The sequence below is a fragment of the Homo sapiens genome, chromosome 2, assembly GCF_000001405.40.
Source record: "Homo sapiens chromosome 2, GRCh38.p14 Primary Assembly".
NCBI lineage: Eukaryota > Metazoa > Chordata > Mammalia > Primates > Hominidae > Homo > Homo sapiens.
The window spans coordinates 112,061,262-112,083,332 of record NC_000002.12 but is presented as its reverse complement, the minus strand read 5'-3'; the positions used below and the strand labels follow the sequence as shown (position 1 = coordinate 112,083,332).

At 40.5% G+C, this 22,071-nt stretch overlaps 1 protein-coding gene across 4 annotated transcripts in view; it reads right to left on the bottom strand.

The window, feature by feature from the left end:
• The window catches only part of TMEM87B (transmembrane protein 87B), a 64,046-nt gene that overhangs the window by 35,982 nt on the left and 5,993 nt on the right, over positions 1 to 22,071 (bottom strand). For 3 of the 4 annotated variants that reach the window (XR_923049.2, NM_032824.3, NM_001329914.2), the window contains exons 3-8: positions 19,080 to 19,171; positions 16,266 to 16,397; positions 8,371 to 8,421; positions 6,051 to 6,141; positions 2,215 to 2,276; positions 1,815 to 1,998 (exon numbers count right to left, since the gene is read on the bottom strand). Coding sequence is in view for 3 of the 4 variants with exons in the window: in NM_032824.3 (NP_116213.1) it covers positions 1,815 to 1,998; positions 2,215 to 2,276; positions 6,051 to 6,141; positions 8,371 to 8,421; positions 16,266 to 16,397; positions 19,080 to 19,171 (612 nt within the window). In the remaining variant the exon portion in view is untranslated. Of the gene's footprint in view, positions 1 to 1,814; positions 1,999 to 2,214; positions 2,277 to 6,050; positions 6,143 to 8,370; positions 8,422 to 16,265; positions 16,398 to 19,079; positions 19,172 to 22,071 lie in introns of all 4 variants that reach the window. The other variant, XM_005263827.3, reaches the window with a different exon arrangement.

Here is a 22,071-nt window from a genome sequence, read left to right as displayed (position 1 = left end):
CCAGTGATTATCTCCATGAACTCTTTAGATATGGCAGCACCACCAGTTTTCAGCTCATCTTGTCCACAAGAAGTCACAAGAGACCTTGTCAAATGCCTTGAAGAAGTCAGCTATACTAAGTTTACTACATCTTCCTGTCAATCTAGCATCCCAAAACAAAAAAATTAGTCTGACATGATATTCTTAACATACCCACGTCGGGTCCTAACAGTCAATGCTTCTCATCCTTCTAATGATTTTTCTAAATTTGATGCTTCAAGATCAATGCTGGGCAAGACAGCCCCTGTCACAGAATTCCCACTTGGGAAAATCAGAAAGGACATCAGCTCCTGCCCACCTCTCCTATTGGACGGGACTCCTGAAAGACCCTGACAGCGGTCTGGGTATCTCTTCCAAGCCCTCTAGTGCCATCTCAGACAGCTTAGATTCCCTGAGGATGGCAGATGGCCTCTTACCTCTTCATGGATCTCAGGTTTTTGCTGCTCCTCACTAAAGTCCATGCCACCCTTTACCTTCACTAAACAAGAGATCACCACCACTGACAGCAAAGCATCAGAACTGCCTTCTCTACATTCAGGAATGCTTCAATTCTAAGCAGCAGATCTACCCTTCCTTCATCATCTGGTTTAGAGCACACATGCACGCACACGCACACGCACACACACACACACACACCATAAAAAACTTCTTACAGAGTAGTGATATCTCTAATATGCATCCTGGATGTTTGTCCTTTCTTTATTCTTTGGTACATGTCCTTTTAAACTTTTTATTTGGGGAAATTTCAAATACTCCCAAAAAGAGAGAAAGCAATATAATGATTTCCCTTGTGCCCATCATGCAGCTTCAATAATTAGCAACGTTACGCCAAATTTGTTTCATCTATAGTCCAATTCATTTTTTTTCTAGAGTATTTCAAAATAAGTAACAGACACATAGTGCCAGCTACTCCAGAGGCTGAGGTGGGCAGATCATTTGGGCCTGGAGGTCGAGGCTGCAGTGAGCAAAAATCGCACCACTGCACTCTAGACCGGGCAACAGATCAAGACCTTGTCAATCAATCAATAACAGACAAAATCATGCCCTTTGAAGATCTGCACCAAGATCATTTGTAACTGGTCACTCAGAAGTACACTCTTGAGCACCTTCAACCTCTCTGAGCTCTCTCTTTCCAAAGCTTTGGTGGGAGAGTTGTACCTTTACTTCTCTGGCCTGAAATCCACTTTCTAGAAGTCTGGGGCACACATCTGAGGATGCCCAGCTGTATGGCCTGCCTGCTTCACATATTCCACTGCGTAAACTGTGATGGTGCCTCCACTGGTTATATGAAGATCTTTGTGGGAGTAAAGAGGTGGGGAGAGCACAAGGAGGCTGCAGGCACCATCCCTTCCAGCACCCCTGATTTTACTCCCTGCGGCCAATTTCCTTTCGTTTTTTGAAGGAGAAGGAGAAAGAAAAGAAGATGTGGGGGGAAGGAGAAGTATGTTAAAAGGATTGACAGCACCTGAAGTCTCCCTGTCCCGAACTTTGTGCTGTTTTAATCCAAGCTGAACCTTAGGAAACGGGACTTTTATTTTTCCCAGGAGGAAAGTGAGGGGAAATTTAGCAAGAAGGAAAACAGATAATGAAGAGAAGACACATGCTTGGCCAGATCAGAGGCCTACTCTGACATTCTTTCCTTGGCTTTCCTTCTCTTCATCTATAATATATCTGTTTCCAAACCACTGTTCAGAAGGGGGCCTCCCACTGCTCTGCTCATAAATACTGGGGAACTCTTAGATCATACTATATTTACAGAGACAGTCAAAACTTACTTGACAGTCCAGTGTTGCTGATGTTTTGGTATTCACTATAAAAAACTGCTTTTTCAAGCATTCCCAAAAAAATAACAGCTGCAATCCAGAACTGGATTCTTAATATATCTTTCCAATAACAGGCAGACCACGTCAGCCAGAGTATGCCATATAATATATAAACAATACACATCACCATGTAAAACTGTAGGAAGAGAAGCAATTTTAGTCAGTTAAGCCTTTTGGTCATTTGAAAGTTGGCACTTCTACATTCAAGTATCCAACCCTTCATTTTCCAGTCACTCTGGAACCAGAAATACAGGATATGTCAAAGCATTAACTACTGAGGAATTACTACCACAAAGCTCTTAGGGTATAAAATTCATTTTTTAAAAAGGAAAAAATGATGAGAAATACTCACAATCATTAGGGGCCAATCTGATGCAGAGATATATCCATGAGGCCCAATCATAGAAAGAGAAACTAGGATAGAGAAGAAGAGAGAGTTAATTAACAGTCAGTCTTAAATCTTTAAATGTAAGTTCATTTCCCAGAAGGCTCCAAGAATACAAACCACACTAACAAATGCTGAATTTGTATGTAGCACATACATGGTATTGGACAATTAGTATTTGTTTGATTATGTAACCTTACCAAGATACCTTTACTGTAAGACCAGAAACTGTAAAACTGCTAGAAGAAAACATAGGGAGAACACTACATAACACTGGTCTGAGCAATGATTTTTTGGATTTGATCCCAAAAGCACGGGCAACAAAAGCAAAAATAGACAAATGGGATTACATCAATATAAAAAGCTTCTTTGCACAAAGGAAACAATTAACAGTAGACATAGACAACTTAGGTACTGGGAGATAAAATTAGCAAGCCATATATCCAAGAAGGAGTTAATATCCAAAATACATAAGCTCAAACAACTCAATAGCAAGAAAACAAAAAACCCAATTAAAAGAATGGGCAGGCCGGGCGTGGTGGCTCACCCCTGTAATCCCAGCACTTTGGGAGGCCAAGGCGGGCGGATTACGAGGTCAGGAGATCGAGACCATCCTGGCTAACACGGTGAAACACCGTCTCTACTAAAAATACAAAAAATTAGCCGGGCGTGGTGGCGAGCACCTGTAGTCCCAGCTACTCGGGAGGCCGAGGCAGGAGAATGGCGTGAACCCAGGAGGTGGAGCTTGCAGTGAGCCGAGATCACGCCACTGCACTCCAGCCTGGGCGACAGAGCAAGACTCCGTCTCAAAAAATAAAAAAAGATAAAAAAAATTAAAAAAAAAAGAATGGGCAAGGGGCTGGGCGTTACAGCTCACACCTGTAATCCCAGCACTTTGGGAGGCCAAGGTGGGCAGATCACTTAAGGTCAGGGGATCGAGACCAGCCTGACCAACATGGTGAAACCCGTCTCTAATAAAAACAGAAAAATTAGCCAGGTGGGGTGGCGTGCACCTATAATCCCAGCTACTTGGGAAGCAGAGGCAGGAGAATCACTTGAACCCAGGAGGTGGAGGTTGCAGTGAGCCGAGATCGTGCCACCGCACTCCAGCCTGGGTGACAGAGCGAACTCCTGTCTCAAAAAAAAAAAAAAAAAAAAAGGCAAGGGACCTAGATGTTTCTCAAAAGAAAACATATAAATGAGCAAAAGATATTAATACATGAAAAATGCTCAACATCACTAGTCATTAGAGAAATGCAAATTAAAACCCCAATATCATTTCACACCTGTCAGAATGGCTTTTATCAAAAAGATGAAAGAGAGTAAGTGCTGATGAAGATGTGGAGAAAAGGGATGCTTTGTGAAAATGTCAATTAGTACAGCCATTATAAAAAACAGTATGGAAGGTCCTCAAAAAACTAAAAACAGAATTACCATATAATCCAGTAATCCCACTTTACTATTTACCCAAAAGATCTAAAATCAGTTTGTCAAAGAGCTGTCTGCACCCCCATGTTCACTGCAGCAGTATGAACAATAGCTAAGTTATGGAATCAAGGTAAGTGTCCATCAACAGATGAATGGATGAAGAAAATGTGTATATATACACAATGAAATACTATTCAGCCTTTAAAAAGAAGAAAATTCTGTCATTTGCAACAACATGGATGGAACTGGAAAACACTGTGCTGAGTGAAATGAGTCAAGCACAGAAAGACAAATACTGCACATTTTCACTTATATGTGGAATCTAAAACAATTGAACTCCTAATACGAGAGCAGAATGGTGGGTACAGAGGCTGGGAGGTAGGAGGCATGGGCAGATGATGGTCCAAGGGTAAAAAAAAATCTCACACAGGAGGAGTAAGTTTTTTCTTTTTTTGAGTTCTATTGCACAGCATGGTGAATAGTTAACAGAGTACTGTATGTTTCAAAATTGCTGAGAGAGTACATTTCAAATGTTCTCACCACAAAAAATGTTAAGCATTTGGGGTGATGAGTATGTTAACTAGTTTGACTTAATTATTCCACACTGTATTTATAGATTATAACATTACTTTGTACCCCATACATTTATGTCATATGTAATTGTCAATTTACAATAAAAAGAAAAAAAGAGATCCCTCTACTTGTATACACGCTATTCTAAAAACCTGTGCCAAATCTGATCATATACAAGAGCACAGTAGTCCCAGCTACCAAACAAGACCTCAGACTGGCCCCCTTGCTAATTTACTCATCTCACCGGGACCTTATCTTCCTTGACGTAACTTGGAATAAATTACCAAACTCACACATCTAGGTTGGGTTTTGTCTGAGATAGCAATAATAAACCATGTGCCGAGTACAGTGCAAAACATGCAGGGCTCAGTGACAGCTCCAGCTACTAATTAGCAGGGGCTCAAAACTGCCCGCTGGTGTCAGGGGAAAAGACACAATGCCTGGGAAAGAAGTGGGCACAAGCCTAGTTCTATGGTCTGAATGTCCTCAAAAATTCATTAAAGCTTCATACCCACTGTGGTGGTATTAAGAGGTGAGGCCTTTTGGGAAGTGATTAAGTCATGAGGGCTCTGTCCTCATGAATAGATTAATGCCTTACAAAAGGCCTGGAGGGAACTAGCTTAGGCCCTTCTTTGCTCTTCTGCCTCCACCCCGTGAGAGCAGAGTGGTTGTCCCCTTTTGTGCTTCCTGCCCTTCTATCCTTTCTGCCATGTGAGAACACATCGTTTAAGGTGCCATCTTGGAAGCAGACACCAGGGACCTAACCAGACACCAAACTTGGTGGCACCTTGATCTTAGACATCGCAGCCTCAAGAACTGTGGGGAAATAAATTTCTGTTCTTTATAAATTACCCAGTGTCAAGTATTCTATTATAGCAGCACAAACAGACTAAGATAGGTGACAGAATGGCATCAGGGTCCCTGCTCCCTCTACTTGGCACAGTCTGGCTCATGATGCCATCTCCAGAAGGAAGCCTTACCTCACACTCTTCCAGAGCAGCCACCTTGCCAGCTTCCCTCCAAGGGCCATGCAGTACAACAGACCGAGCCTCCTCTGCAGCAATGCCTACCTCACCTCATTGGTTTCTGCCAGCTGACTGGCTGAATCAGAGCAGTATCAAATCCCCAGGGCCCTCACATGCTGATTGGCTACTGCTGGCCCCAGCAGACACACCCACTATGGAAAACATCAGCCAAAGTGATTCTAGAATATGGGAAAGCATTCATTCTCTTGAAAACTGCTTATTGCAAGTCTACTTTTGTGGCACTAAGGAACCACAGCTTAACAAGGCACAGAGGGTCTAACTTACAGTGGTGGGGGTGCCTCACAGACCACAGAAGCACATGCTGGCAGATATGCTGCTTCTACTCCTAGGCTACAGACAGATCCTTTAAAATAAAATTTGTCAAATAATAAAAATCTTAAATCCCTGATGATGGCCATTTTCAAGAAACAGAGAACATAACCTACTTGAAATACACAACTAAAAAGTTGCCTACACATTTCTACATGTTAAAAAAATTTTTTTAATCTGAAAGAATGGAGAATTTTATATCCCACTATGAAGTTTGAAATTTTAAAAATTTATCTTAACACAGTAAAATTTTAAATCAATTAAAAAATAAATAGTAGCAATAAGATAACTTAATGTTACATTTTAAGTATCTAAAATAAATGTATGATTAACAGAAATTCATTTTTGAATGATGTATTTGAAACAGAGAATGTTGACTCAGGTCAGTGACAAAAATACAGAATACAGAAAATGCAGACAGTAAACATGCATGCAGTTTAACTATACCATTCAAATTCCAGCTTGCATCTGTATTCTCCGTTTTAATAGAAACAATAAAGATATGAAACCCATCTTTTTGTGTTCTGGCTACAACATCCTGAAATAGAGGTGAAAAAAATTCTTCATTATTTTTAACAAATTGCTATGTAATATAGCTGAACAACTGTTTGCCATATTTTAAAGTAATTGAATCGGGTTACTTTTTAAATTTTTCTATTTTTTAATTTTTTCCTTTTTTTTTTTTTTTTTTGAGATGGGGGTCTCACCATGTTGCCCAGGCTGGTCTCAAACTCCTGACCCCTCATGTGATCCTCCTGCTTTGGCCTCCCAAAGTGCTGGGATTACAGATGTGAGCCACTATGTCCAGTCATATTGGGTTTCTTTTAAACACACACACAGACACACACACACACACACACACACACACACACACACACACACACACAAAACAGAAAAGGAATGGCAGGTAGTGGAAAGATAGCTATTTCTCTTATTTTTTAAACACCATCCTTCCAGACCTAAAAAGGTAAAGGAGGAAAGAAGCGTTTCTCATTCTTCAATGTTTTCTATCTTTTATATTTTTACAGGTTCCCTCTAATATTACCAATCTATAAATTGTTTAATATTATCAATAAAAAACTTTTTCTAGGGCTGAGCAGGGTGGCTCACACCTGTAATCCTAGCACTTTGGGAGGCCGAGGTGGGTGGATCACTTGAGCTCAGGAGTTTGAAACCAGCCTGGCCAACGTGGCAAAACCCTGTCTCTACTAAAAATACAAAAATTAGCCGGGTGTGGTGGTAGGCACCTGTAGTCCCAGCTACTTAGGAGGCTGAGACAGAAGAATCGCTTGAACTTGGGAGGCGGAGGTTGCAGTGAGCTGAGATCACACCACTGCACACCAGCCTAGGTGACAGAACAAGCCTGTGTCTCAAAAAAACCTCTTTTTTCTAACAATACTCTTCTCATATTTTATCCTAATTTTATCAAACATTTTGTTTTATTTAAATGTGTGGTTTTCATTATTCATTTATTTTTTGAGATGGAGTCTCGCTCTGTCACCCAGGCTGAAGTGCAATGGTGCGATCTTGTCTCACTGCAACCTCAGCCTCCTGGGTTCAAGCAATTCTTGTGCCTCAGCCTCCGAGTAGCTGGAATTCCAGGCACCTGCCACCACACCCGGCCTAATGTGTGGTTTTTAAATTGAATTGGGGGAAGAGGAAGTTAGATAACATTGTCAGAAATGACTCAGATTAAGTACATAAGCTAAATGATTCAAATTTCTTAAGGCACTATGTTACTTGCAATTCCACTAAGGAATAAAACTTCCCACTGTAATGCTTGTAAATTCTCCAGTGCCCTCCCATAACTGGATCACACTTCTTATACTCCATTTTCCTGAATATTTCCTATCCGTTTCTTTCATTTCCTACTCCTCATCATATGACAGATTTTGTACAAAGTTTGTCCTGGCCACTGCAGAGCGAGTGCCTTTCCATTATCAGACTTCTTTAGGATGGTTGAAGAGAAAACATGAAGAGTCATAGTATAAAAGCAAACATTAAGCTCTCCCAAACCTGTTTTCAGTCCCTACACATAACTCCCATCCCTTTCGACCTCTTACTCAGTCTTCTAACTTTTAGTAATTCCCCAGAATGCCAAAATTTCCCTCCCACATGCTACATTCATGGTTTCTATTTCTTTAAATCCTTAATGACACGCACAGCCCATTGCTATGCTGTCTTGCACATTTAGAGGGGGAATTTTATTTTTTAAAGAAAAGAAAGGCTGCATAGAAATGCATCTTAAATTGCTTTAAGGATATTTTTAGACAAAGATAGTAACAGTATATACAAAATTCATATAGACATATATAAGAAAACTTTTTTTTGAGGCAGAGTCTTGCTCTGTCACCCAGGCTGAAGTTTAGTGGTGCAATTTCAGCTCACTGCAACCTCCACCTCCCAGGTTCAAGTGATTCTCATGCCTCAGCCTCCCAAGTAGCTAGGATTACAGGCATGTACCACCATGCCTGGCTAATTTTTGTATTTTTAGTAGAGATGAGGCTTTGCCATGTTGGCCAGGCTGGTATCAAACTGCTGGCCTCAAGCAATTAACCTGCTTCAGCCTCCCAAAGTGCTGGGATTGCAAGCAGGAGCCACTGCACCTGGCCTGAAAACATACGGTTTTAAATAATGTTTCCTTTTCCTTCCACAGTTCTAATAACCCTACTTTATATCACTCTCTAAGTATCTATCCATCAGCGACTTTTTTCAGTCTTACGTTAACTTGTGTATATTTGATTTAAAGACAAATCAAACTGCTTACCATTGATCTTTCCTGGTTTGAAACATTTCTGATATTTATTAGTTCTTTATTCTGGAAAAAAGAGTAAATAATGCCATTTTATACTGCTGCATTTCTACGGAGAAAAATTGTTTTAATAATTAAGAAAAAAAGTTAGAAGAAAAATGAAAAATTAAAAAGCTAAACATCAAAGAACAAATCTCACTGTATCCCAAACACAAGTAACAAAGTTCTGCTTTTGAAAAATTGCCCCTATTATATAAAGAGATGGAATCTATGACTCACTGACACTCCTGAAAGAGATGGGAGAATGGAAGCAACTTGAAAAACCTATTTCAGTATATCATCCATGAGAACTTCCCCAACCTAGCTAGAGGGGCCAACATTCAAATTCAGGAAATGCAAAGAACCCCCACAAGATACTTTATAAGAAGATCATCCCCAAGACACATAAATCATCAGATTCTCCAAGGTCAAAATGAAGAAAAATGTTAAAGGCACCTAGAAAGAAAGGTCAGGTCACCCACAAAGGAAAGCCCATCAGATTAACATTAAGCCTCTCCACAGAAACCCTACAAGGAGAAGAGAATTGGAGGCCTATGTTCAACATTCTTAAACAAAAGAAATTCCAACCAAGAATTTTATGTCTGGCCAAACTAAGCCTCATAAGTGAAGGGGAAATAAGACCCTTTTTAGACAAGCAAATGCTGAGGGAATTCATTCAGACCTGCCTTACAAGAGCTCCTGAAAGAAGCACTAAATATGGAAAGACCATTACCAGCCACTAAAAAAACACACTTAAGTATACAAACCAGTGACACTAGGAAGTAGCCACACAGATGAGTCTGCGTAATAACCAGCTAACAACATGATGACACGATCAAACCCACAATGTCAACACTAAAAGCCCCAATTAAAAGGCACAGAATGTCAAGCTGGATAAATAAGCAAGACTCATTGGTTTGCTGTCTTCAAGAGACTCATCTCACATATAACGACACCCACAGGCTCAAAATAAAGGGTTGGAGAAAAATCTACCAAGCAAATGGAAAACAGAAAAAAAGCAGAGGTTGCAGGCCTAATTTCAGACAAAACTGACTTTAAACCAACAAAAATCAAAAAAGACACAGAAGGGCATTATGTAATGGTAAAGGGTTCAATTCAACTGAAGACTTAACTCTCTTAAATATATATGCACCCAACACAGGAGTACCCAGATTCATAAAGCAAGTTCTTAGAGACGTTTAAAGAGACTTAGACTCCCACACAATAATAGTGAGAGACTTCAACACCCGACTGAAAGTATTAGATCACTGAGGCATAAAATTAACAAAGATATTCAGGACCTGAACTCAACACTGGATCAAATGGAGCTGATAGACATCTACAGAACTCTTCACCCAAAAATAATAGAATATACACTCTTCTCATCTCTGCATGGCACATACTCTAAAATCAGCCAATGAGAAATAAAACAATGCTCAGAAAACGCAAAAGAACCAAAATCATACCAACCACTCTCTCAGACCACAACAATAAAATTGGAAATCAAGATTAAGAAAATCTTTCGAAACCGTACAATTGCATGGATATTAAACAACCTGCTCCTGAATGACTTTTGGGTGAATAATGAAATTAAGGCAGAAATCAAGAAGTTCTCTGAAACTAATGAGAACAAAGATACAACATACCAGAATCTCTGCGACATAGCTAAGGCAATATTAAGAGGGAAATTTACAGCACTAAACGCCCACAGTGAAAAGTTAAAAAGATCTTGGCTGGGTGCGGTAGCTCACACCTGTAATCCTGTAATCCCAGTACTTTGGGAGGCTGAGGCGGGTGGATCATCTGAGGTCACGAGTTCGAGACCAGCCTGGCCAACATGGCGAAACCTCATCTCTACTAAAAATACAAAAGTTAGCTGGGTGTGGTGGTGGGTGCCTGCAATCCCAGCTACTCGGGAGGCTGAGGTGGGAGAATCACTTGAACCTGGGAGGTGGAGGTTGCAGTGAGCCGAGATTGCACCACTGCCCTCCAGCCTGGGCAACAGAATGAGACTCTGTCTCAAAAAAAAAAAAAAAAAAAAAAGAAGAAGAGTTAAAAAGATCTCAAATTAATTAACAACCTAACATCACAACTCAAAGAACTAGTGAAGCAAGAGCAAACCAACCTCAAAGCTGGCAGAAGACAAGAAATAACCAAAATCAGAGCTGAACTAAAGGGGACCGAGACATGAAAAACCATTCAAAAGACCAATGAATCCAGAAGCTGTTTTTTTGAGAAAATTAATCAGATAGACTGCTAGGTAGGTTAATAAAGAAGAAAAGACAGAGGATCCAATAAACTTAATTAGAAATGACAAACGGAATGTTACCACTGAGCCCACAGAAATACAGGTAACCATCAGAAAATACTATCAATGCCTCTATGCACACAAACTAGAAAATTTAGAATAAATGGATAAATTACTGGACACATACACCCTCCCAAGACTAAACCAGGAAGAAACTGATTCCCTGAACAGACCAATAAGAAACTCTGAAATGGAAATAGCCTACCAACCAAAAAAAGGCCGAAGACCAGATGGATTCACAGCTAAATTCTACTAGAAGTACAAAGAAGAGCTGGTACCATTCCTACTGAAACTATTCCAAAAAATTGAGGAGGAGGGACTCCTCCCCAACTCATTCTATAAGGCCAGCATTATTCTGATACCAAAACATAGAAGAGACATGACAAAAGAAGGCTTCAGGCCAATATCTTTGATGAACACTGATGCAAAAAACCTCAACAAAATACTAGCAAACCAAATCCAGCAGCACATCAAAAAGTTAATCTACCATGATCAAGCAGGCTTTCCCCTGGGATGCAAGGTAGGCTCAACACATGCAAATCAATAAACATGATTTATTACATAAAGAGAATTAAAGACAGAAACCACATGATCATCTCAATAGATACAGAAAAGGCTTTGGATAAAATACAACATCCTTTCATGTTAAAAACTCTAATAAACTAGGTATTGAGGGAACAGATCTCAAAATAATAAGAGCCACCTATGACAAACTCATAGCCAACATCATACTTAATGGGCAAAAGCTGGAAGCATTACCCTTGACATCCGGCACAAGACAAAAATGCCCTCTCTCATCACTCCTATTTAACATGGTATTGGAAGTCCTGGCCAGAGCAATCAAGTAAGAGAAAGAAATAAAGGGCACCCAAATAGGAAGAGAAGAAGTCAAACTATCCCTGTGTGCAGACGACATGATTATATATCTAGAAAACCCCATACTCTCTGCCCAAAAGCTCCTTGAGCTGATAAGCAACTTCAGCAAAGTTTTGGGATACAAAATCAATATATAAAGATCACTAGCGGCTGGGCGTGGTGGCTCACTCCTGTAATCCCAGCACTTTGGGAGGCCAAGGCAGCAGGATCACTTAAGGTCAGGAGTTTGAGAGCAGCCTGGCCAACATGGTGAAACCCCGTCTCTACTAAAAAAAAAATTCAAAAATTAGCCGGGCATGGTCACAGGTGCCTGTAATCCCAGCTACTCAGGAGGCTGAGGCAGGAGAATTGCTTGAACCTAGGAGGCGGAGGTTGCAGTGAGCAGAGACTGCGCCATTGCACTCCAGCCTGGATGACAGAGTGGGCAGTGGTGGCGGCGGCGGGGGGGCGGGGGGGGAATCACTAGCATACCTGTACACCAACAACAGCCAAGCCAAGAGCCAAATCATGAATGCAATCCCATAGGAATACAGCTAACCAAGGGGGTGAATGAACTCTACAATGAGAATTACAAAACACTGCTCAAAGAAATCAGAGATGACACAAACAAATGGAAAGATGTTCCATGCTCAGCCGGGCGCAGTGGCTCATGCCTGTAATCCCAGCACTTTGGAGGCCGAGGCGGGTGGATCATGAAGTCAGGAGATCAAGACCATCCTGGCTAACACAGTGAAACCCCATCTCTACTAAAAAAAAATACAAAAAATTAGCCGGGCATGGTGGCGGGCGTCTGTAGTCCCAGCTACTTGGGAGGCTGAGGCAGGAGAATGGCATGAACCCGGGAGGTGGAGGTTGCAGTGAGTGGAGACTGCGCCACTACACTCCAGCCTGGGTGACAGAGCAAGACTCCATCTCAAAAAAAAGAAAAAAAAAAAAGATGTTCCATGCTCATGGATATGAAGAATTAATACTGTTAAAATGGCCCTGCTGCCCAAAGCAACTTACAGATTCAATGCTATTCCTATCAAACTACCAATGACATTCTTCACAAAACTAGAAAAAACTATTTTAAAATTCATATGGAACCAGAAGAGAGCCCGAATAGCCAAGGCAATCCTAACCAAAAGGAACAAAGCTGGAGGCATCATGCTACCTGACTTCAAACTATACCACAGGGCTATAGTAACCAAAACAGCATGGTACTGGTACAAAAACAGACACATAGACCAGTGGAACAGAATAGAGAGCCCAGAAATATCGGAGCACACGTATAATAATTTGGTCTTTAATAAAGTTGACAAAAACAAACAATGGGGAAAAGACTCCCTATTCAATAAATGGTGCTGGGATAACTGGCTAGCCATATGCAGAAGACTGAAACTGGACCCTTTGCTTACATTATATACAAAAATCAACTCAAGATGGATTAAAGAGTTAAATGTAAAACTTAAAACTATGAAAACCCTATGAAGACAACCTAGACCATACCATTCTGGACATAGGACAGGTGACGATTTCATGACAAAGTTGCCAAAAAAGCAATTGCAACAAAAGCAAAAATTGACAAATAGGATCTAATTAAACTAAAGAGTTTCTGCACAGCAAAAGAAACTATCAACAGAATAAAAAGATAACCTACAGAATGAGAGAAAATATTTGCAAGCTATGCATCTGACAAAGGTCTAATGTCCAGTGTCTATAAGGAACTTAAACAAATTTACAAGAAAAAAAACAAAAAAAAATTAAAAAGAGGGCAAAGGACATGACTAGACATTTTTCAAAGGAAGACATGCATATGGCCAACAAGCATATTTTAAAAAGCTCAATATCACTGATCATCAGAGAGATGCAAATCAAAACCACAATGAGATACCATCTCACACCAGTCAGAATGGCTATTATTAAAAAGTCAAAAAATAACAGATGCTGGCAAGGTTGTGGAGAAAAGGGAATGCTTATACACTGCTGGTGGGAGTACAAATTGGTTCACCCATTGTGGAAAGCGGTGTGGCAATTCCTCAAAGAGCTGAAAAGAGAACTACCGTTTGACACAGTACTTCCATTACTGGGTATATTATATACCCAAAGGGATATAAATCGTTCTGTCATAAAGACACATGCACACATATGTTCACTGCAGCACCATTCACGTTGCCAAAGATATGGAATCAACCTAAATTCCCATCAATGGTAGACTGGATAAAGAAAATGTGGTACATATACATCATGGAATAATATGCAGACATAAAAAAGGAGATCGTGTCCTTTGCAGGGACATGGATGGAGCTGGAAGCCATTTTCCTTAGCAAACTAACACAGGAACAGAAAACCAAATACCGCATGTTCTCACTTATAAGTGGGAGCTAAATGATGAGAAAATGGACACAAAGAGGGGAACAGCAGACACAAAGAGGGGCCTACTTAAGGGTGAAGGCTGGGAGGAGGTAGAGGAGCAGAAAAAATGACTATTGGGTACTAAACTTAGTACCTGTGTCATGGAAATAATTCGTACAACAAATTCCTGTGACATGAGTTTTTTTTTTTTTTTTTTTTTTTGAGACGGAGTCTCGCTCTGTCGCCCAGGCCAGACTGCGGACTGCAGTGGCGCAATCTCGGCTCACTGCAAGCTCCGCTTCCCGGGTTCACGCCATTCTCCTGCCTCAGCCTCCCGAGTAGCTGGGACTACAGGCGCCCGCCACCGCGCCCGGCTAATTTTTTGTATTTTTAGTAGAGACGGGGTTTCACCTTGTTAGCCAGGATGGTCTCGATCTCCTGACCTCAAGATCCACCCGCCTCGGCCTCCCAAAGTGCTGGGATTACAGGCATGAGCCACCGCGCCCGGCCTACATGAGTTTACGATATAACAAACCTGCACATGTACCCCTGAAAATAAAAGTTAAAAAATAAAAATAAAACCTTCTCCTTAATGAGGATAGTGTTGCCATTGGCAGGGAAAGTGTTAGGAAGTAAAAGGGGGTTCTAGGTGCTAAAATGTTCTATAATTCATCAGGGTCTACATGGTTGTGCTCAGTTTTGTTGTCTGTTTTTTTTGAGACGGAGTCTCACTCTGTTGCCCAGGCTGGAGTGCAGCGGCATGATCTCGGCTCACTGCAAGCTCCACCTCCCGAGTTCACGCCATTCTCCTGCCTCAGCCTCCCAAGTAGCTGGGACTACAGGTGCCCGCCACCACGCTCGGCTAATTTTTTGTATTTTTAGTAGAGACGAGGTTTCACTGTGTTAGCCAGGATGGTCTCGATCTCCTGACCTCATGATCCACCCGCCTTGGCCTCCCAAAGTGCTGAGATTATGGGTGCGAGCCATTGTGCCTGGCCTTTTAAAAATTCATTGAGGAGTACACTGATGTGTACTTTTCTGTGTTTATTATATTTCAACACATTTTAAAGAGAACTCCTTTAAAACTTTTACTAAAGACTTTCACTTCAGAATTTACAAAAGAACAAAAAATAAATTTAAATGCCTCATAATCTCACTAACCAAGGCTGACTGCTAGGTTTATTTTTGTTTTTGTTTTTGTTTTTTGAGACGGAGTCTCGCTCTTGTCCCCCAGTCTGGAGTGCAATGGCGTGATCTCGGCTCACTGCAACCTCTGCCTCCCGGGTTCAAGTGATTCTCCTGCCTCAACCTCCTGAGTGGCTGGGATTACAGGTGCGTACCACCACACCCAGCTAATTTTTTGTATTTTAAGTAGAGATGGGGTTTCACCATGTTGGCTAGGCTGGTCTCGAACTACTGACCTCAGGTGATCCACCTGCCTCATCCTCCCAAAGTGCTGGGATTACAGGCTGAGCCACCACGCCCAGCCAACTGCTGTTAATCATTTTAGAATCTAAGCTCCCACACTGGTAGGGAGAAAAGGCATAAAGGAGGAGTTAGTGTTGACATGTGTCAAATGCTGGTAAGTCAAGACTTTTGGTAAGAGGAACAGACCATTGGATTTAACAACATGGAAGTTACTGGTGACTTTGACTAGAGCTGTTTTGATGGGATGATGGATGCAAAGGTCTGACTGCAGTTGACAGAAGGAAGAGTGAGAGATAAATTGGAGGTAGCAGATATAAAAGAACCTTGCAAGGATATTGCCAAAATAAGTTGCAAGGAAATGGAACAATGGTATCAGTATCTTATCTTTTTTTTTGAGACGGAGTCTCGCTCTGTCGCCCAGGCTGGAGTGCAGTGGCGCAATCATGGCTCACTGCAAGCTCTGCCTCACGAGTTCAAGCAATTCTCATGCCTCAGCCACCCGAGTAGCTGGGACTACGGGCACATGCCACCACACCCGGCTAATTTTTTTATTTTTAGTAGAGATGGGGTTTCACCAGGCTGGTCTCAAACTCCTGACCACAGGTGATCCACCCACCTCAGTCTCCCAAGGTGCTGGGATTACAGGTGTGAGCCACCGCGCCCAGCCACGTATCTTACTTATTATGTACTACTATACACACAAACAAACTAAACCTAAAAATTTACAAGTTAACCACCTTTATCAAAATCCTGATAAAACAGTACTTCAGTTGATACTTGTATTCAGTGGGAATAAAATAAACTTTATTTTAACATGGCAAGTCAGATACCACCTTTATCAAAATTCCGATAAAACATTACTTCAGTTGATACTTGTATTCACTGGGAATAAAATAAACTTTAACATGGCAAGTCAGATACTCACATTCAAAGAGGGAAACACCTGTGAATCACTGTTGCAATCTAAGTTTTCATTTTTTGTTGTCCAACAGTTGTCATTCTTCAAATAATGACAAAAGTCTTCATCAACACTAAGTTTATGTTTTTGGAACAGCTCCTATATAAGGTAAAATTCTATGTTATAATTTATTCCCACACTTCTTATCCTAGAATATAAATAAAAGTTAATGTCTAAATAATACCAAAAGTATATTCAGTTTGAAATACCTGGAAATACGCAATAGAATAAAATACCAAATAAAAACTGTTTCGAATATAATTTTAATATAATTGAGATAATCATAACCTTTTAGCCATTCCAGTGTGTTCAGATACAGTAATACATAACACAAGCACACTTACAATAAGAAAACTGACTAAGATACTACAATGAAATAGTTCCCAGAGAAATAAAACATACTTTGTTCTGGGGCTACTTGTATTTTATCCCATGTGTAAGAGATTTTACAGAGAAAGAAAGTAGCATTCAACTACAAAAAAGAGAAAGCAAACAGTAAGATACAGCAAAGGTAGCTGAGTGCAGAGGAGACGCTCATTTACACAACTACCTGAGGTTCCTGGCATCCTTGAATGGATGAATGAACCAGGCTCCTTAATGGCAGCTCCCAGTCATCAAAAAAAGTGGAGTTGGCTCCCACAGACCAAATATGGGACAATATGAGCAAAATATATAAAAACAGTAATAGATTATAACCTATATAACAAAGTAAAAATCAACAAGTCCGACCTGATGACTGACAGATAAGACAGATTGATTAGGGGAGTAGAGAGAGTGCATCCTTATAGTAGAATGCTAACAAAGGAAGAAGAAAGTATGGAACTAGAAAATCACCATTCAGCAATCAGCACAGTAATGACTGACTCATCAGGCAAGAATCATGAAAGGATGCTAAAACAAGTGGCTGAAGGTTTGATGAAAACCACAACATATTTACATAGTTTCAAAAGTTTTTCCTCACAAGTTGTTGTTAATAACAAAGAGAAAAGTAGTAACTTTGGAATGGAAAAAATCTTGCAGATATGTCCTTGACCAACTGATCAAATTAACATCACCAAAAATGAGACAAATCAGTATTCTGTGGTATTCCTGCCAAAAATGTATAACTTGAATCTGATCATGAATAAACATCAGAAATATTCAAATTCAGGGGCATTTTGCAAAAATAAATGGTCTGTGCACTTCAAAACTATCAATGCCATGACACACCAAAAAGGGGGGAAATCCAGATTATCAGGAACTAAAAACAAAAACAAGGAAAGGAAATGAAATGCAAACCTGAATTGGTTCCGGTATGGGGTGTGGAGTGTGTGTGCAGGGGGAGCGGGGGCGCCTGCTCTAAAAGACAATATTGGGACACTGGTGAACTTTTTTTTTTTTTTTTTTTTTTTGAAGACAAGGTCTCACTGTCTCCCAGGCTGGAGTGCAGTGGTGCAATCACAGCACATTGCAACTTTAAACTCCTGGGCTCAAGGGATCCTCCGGCCTAAACCTCCCGAACAGCTGGGACTATAGGCACATGCCACTGTGTCTGGCTAATTTTTTAATTTTTTGTAGAGACAGGGTCTCACTTGTTGCCCAGGCTGGTCTTTAACTCCTGGGCTTAAGTGATCCTCTCGCCTCAGGTTCCCAAAGCGCAGGAATTACAGGTGTGACCCACCCTGCCCAGTTGCAAAATTTTAATAAGGTTTATATATAATAGCATTTTATCAGTGTTAAATTTGAATTCTATAATTATACTGTGAAAAAAATAAATGAATATCTCTGTTCTTAGGAAATTTACATTGAAGTATTTAGTGTGAAGGTGTAAAATATTTAGAGATGAAGCCAAAAAGGCAGTTCAAGGAAAATGGCATGGTTCAATCCAAATAGAAATATAATACTAATAACAATACAGAAAGCCAGCTATAATGGCTCACATCTATAATCCCAGAAACTCTGGAGGCTACCTGAGACAACCTGCCAGGAGGGTCACTTGAGTCCAGGAGTTCAGGGCTGGAGTGAGCCATGATCGCACCACTGCACTCCAGCCTGGGTGACAGAGAGAGATCTCATATGTATTTACATGCATATACATGTATAGGTATATGTACACATATATGTATATGTATAGATATATACATATATACATATATAATTTAAAAAGATATGGAAACCCATATATTATTCAAGGTAGAAGCCAAACAGGTAACAGAGAATCTGAAAAGGAAACAATCCCAAGCAACTATCACGAGAATCATCAAGAGAAACACCTTGCTGAGAGCCCAGTGCACATCCCAGGAGGAAGAAACCCAGGCTTCACAGCCAGGTGCAGGAAAAGCCTTGCTCAGCACAGCCACTTTCTCCTTCTCTCTCAGAATCCTCTGCCTTTCCCCAGATACCTCCTTTCTTCTCCTCACCTCTTTCTGCGATCTACTTGTGCTCACTAAATCTACTTGTACTCAATACAGTTCTAGTTTCCCTATAATTTTTTTAAAAAGTGAAATATTTAAACTTCTTTTGCAAATTAAGCATTTATTTGTATGTATGCGTCTTTATCAATGACTCCTACGTGCCTGAATTTAAACATTTACTAACATTTTTCATATCATACAAGGCAACTAAAAGCTCGTAGTATTCTCAGCATGTAACTTGGTTTATTGCCATAAGTCCCAAAATTAATCTGTAGCACTTCTAAAACTGTAATCTCTATTTCTAGCCTCCTCGCTTGATGAGCTAATCTTTATACCCATAATTTTCCTTCATAGCTTTATATACATTAAAAACTTGTGTTTTACTTACTTCCAGATTAGAATGCTCATTGTGACAGGTATGATACTTCAAATGCCACACTATGGTAAACTTCACAGGCCCAGAACAATGGAATGACTTAACTGTTTAGAAAAAGAAAGTCTTGTTTTACATGAATAATACATACACTCTAATATAAACTTAAGGTTTTGAGAATGCAATTAAAAATAGGCTACTTTAATGTAACAATGAGTAAAACATTAGCTAATTTCTCCAAAAAGTCACTGTAAAGTGAGACAGATAAATTCATTAAATTGTTACAGTTAACCAAAAGCTGCTGTAATACTGCTCATTTCACGTATAAGTCTAAAATTAAATAAACTGAGTGGCCTGATATGCTAAGTCACTGCTTATTTCACTCTCAAACATTTTTCTCACTCACATATTCATTCAAAATATACTGAGTGAGCCCCATCCTGTGTGCCATCCTGTGAGCTATGATGGTAAACAAGAACAATGCCTGTCTATGACTTAAGAGGTACTGGAGGAGTGAGTTTTAACAACTAAACAGGCACTCTCAGTAGTCCCAGAGGCTGAGAATAGTCAAGGGAGCACTGAGCAGGTCACCTATCATAGCCCAGGAGAGCATGAAGAATGGGTTCTGGGTAAGCTTGCTGGAGGAGGAGACCTGTAACTTGAAGGAAGAGCAGAAGTTAGCCTGGTGAAGAGAAGGGTGGACCAAACATGTAAATGCCCAGGGTGAGTGAAAGCACAGCATGAGTATGACCCCTGAAAATAGTCTGCTATGCTTAGAACACAGGCTGGGGAAAGGAGAAAGAGTTGAAGCTGGAGAAGAGTGCTGGGGAAAATTCATGAGGTCTTAGACCCTGCTGAGGAGTTTGGCCTTTCTTTTGAATGATCCAGGTAAGAGAGTGACACAAATAGGCAGACTGAAAAGCATTAAGTCTGGAGTTAAGGAGAGCTCTGTTGGGAACGTCCTCACGACATGGCAGCTGGCTTACCCCAGAGTGAGTGATTAGAGAGAGCAAAGATGCAGCCACAGTATCTTTTATAACTTAGCCTCAGAAGGGATGTGCCATTATTTCCACCATGCTCTATCAGTCACTCAGACCAACTCTGATAAAATGTGTTAGAGGACCACACAAGATCATGAATAACAGGAAGCAAGGATCACTGGGAGACATCTCAAAGGCTGATAATGACAAAGAGCGAAACCAAACTGAGACCAGAGATTCAAGTTCAACAAACTGAGGCTGGTAGATTTTCTGGGGGACAGTACCCAAGAGATGGAAGCTACATAAAGAGAAAGAGAAATCTGCATAGTGATCCCCTGGAGTTTCTGGCTGAAGGGCAGCCTGCCCATGCATAGGAACAAGCCCAACAATTCTCAGAGCTCACACAGAGTTGGGAACTGTTTGAGTTTCCACTAGCCAGAGTGGAAAGGCCTCAGTAAATATACCAGGTATTTGGAAGACAAGCAGAAAGACCACACCACAGAAGCACTGTTAAGTTTGCCCTAGACAAAAGGCTACTGCAGAACCATCCTAAAAGAACTTAACAAGAAAACTGGAAAGCATCAAACTGACCCACAAGGAACTTAAATGTCTGCTAGAACAAAGTTGTTAAAGGACTACAACGTCCTCCAGCACTCAAAAATGTGAAATTCACAATATGCACCGACCAAACAAACAAAAAGCCTGCTTGGATTTTGGCTGGGATTAAACTGAACTTATAGATCAATCTGGGAAGAACTGACAGTATGATGTTTGCTACAGATTTTTCATAGATGCCTTTTATCAGGTTGAGGAAGTTTCCTTCTATTTCTAACTTTCTTTGAGTTTCTATCATGAATGGGTGTTGAATTTTTTTCAAATGCTCTTTCTGTATACTTTGAGATGATCATATGGTTCATTTCTTATATTCTGTTAATATGGTGAATTACATTGAGATATTTTTTAGCACAGGCTCCACATGACTTGAATGAGACAGCAGAAGAGAGGTTGCCTTAAAAAAGCCAGATATCTGATCTCCCAAACAGCATCGACATATATCCAAGGGACCAGTCCTTAGCTTAACAAGCACTAAAATCTGGCTCTGTGAAAACACAGATTCTCATCTCACCCTTTCCCAATGGTAGATGTGTACATTAGAATGCTCAATTACTCACTTTCATGATTACCATGTAGATGTATAAATTAGAATACTCAATTACTCACTTACAATGAACAGAAACCGTAAACTGGACTAGTAATGATCAACTCTTTCCCTTCAGCATGCCTCCCTGGAGGCCCAATACGGATGAGAAGGTGGTTTGGTGAGCATGGCACCAGACCAAGGAGGCTCAGGTGGATGCTATATCCACAACTGCCAGCCCCATGTCATAGCTGTGGTCATGGTTCAAGAAAACCTCTCCCCCAACAATGCTGTTGGACATGACCAGCATTTGCCTGACTAAACCCTAGTTTTATTATGCTTTTGCTCTTAAATCCCTCATGCTGTCCCATTCTTTCTTTAGATAAGTTAATAACAACGTCTTGATTGTAGTCTACTCATATGTTGATCTCAGGCATTTGTAATGATTTTTAAAAATCAAATTCTGTTTCAGTGGCTGACGTTACTTTTTTTTCCATATAACTTTTTGTCAGCACCAGACTGAGATTCTTTTAAATCCTTTGTCTAGACTTTGAGACATGAATTCATTAAATAAACAGATGCCAAAATTTTTTTCTCTCTCACCTTGGACTTCAATTTCCTCTTACCAAGCTCTTATCACAACTGATGATTGATATTACAGAGCTGCTTGAAACCACCTCTGCTTTCTAGCTGCTGGCTAGCCTGACTTCCCTCAGGAAAGACCCATAAAAGGAAGAATTGCCCCCAACAAATGAGCAGAGCATGATCTGTTGTGTGAAAGGAAAGAGGCATGACTTTGGATCCTGTAGAAGCCAGTTTGCTCTACCCAGCAAAAAACTGCTCCTTATCCTGAGACTTTAACTCTGGCAACCAATTTTCCTAGTTAGGT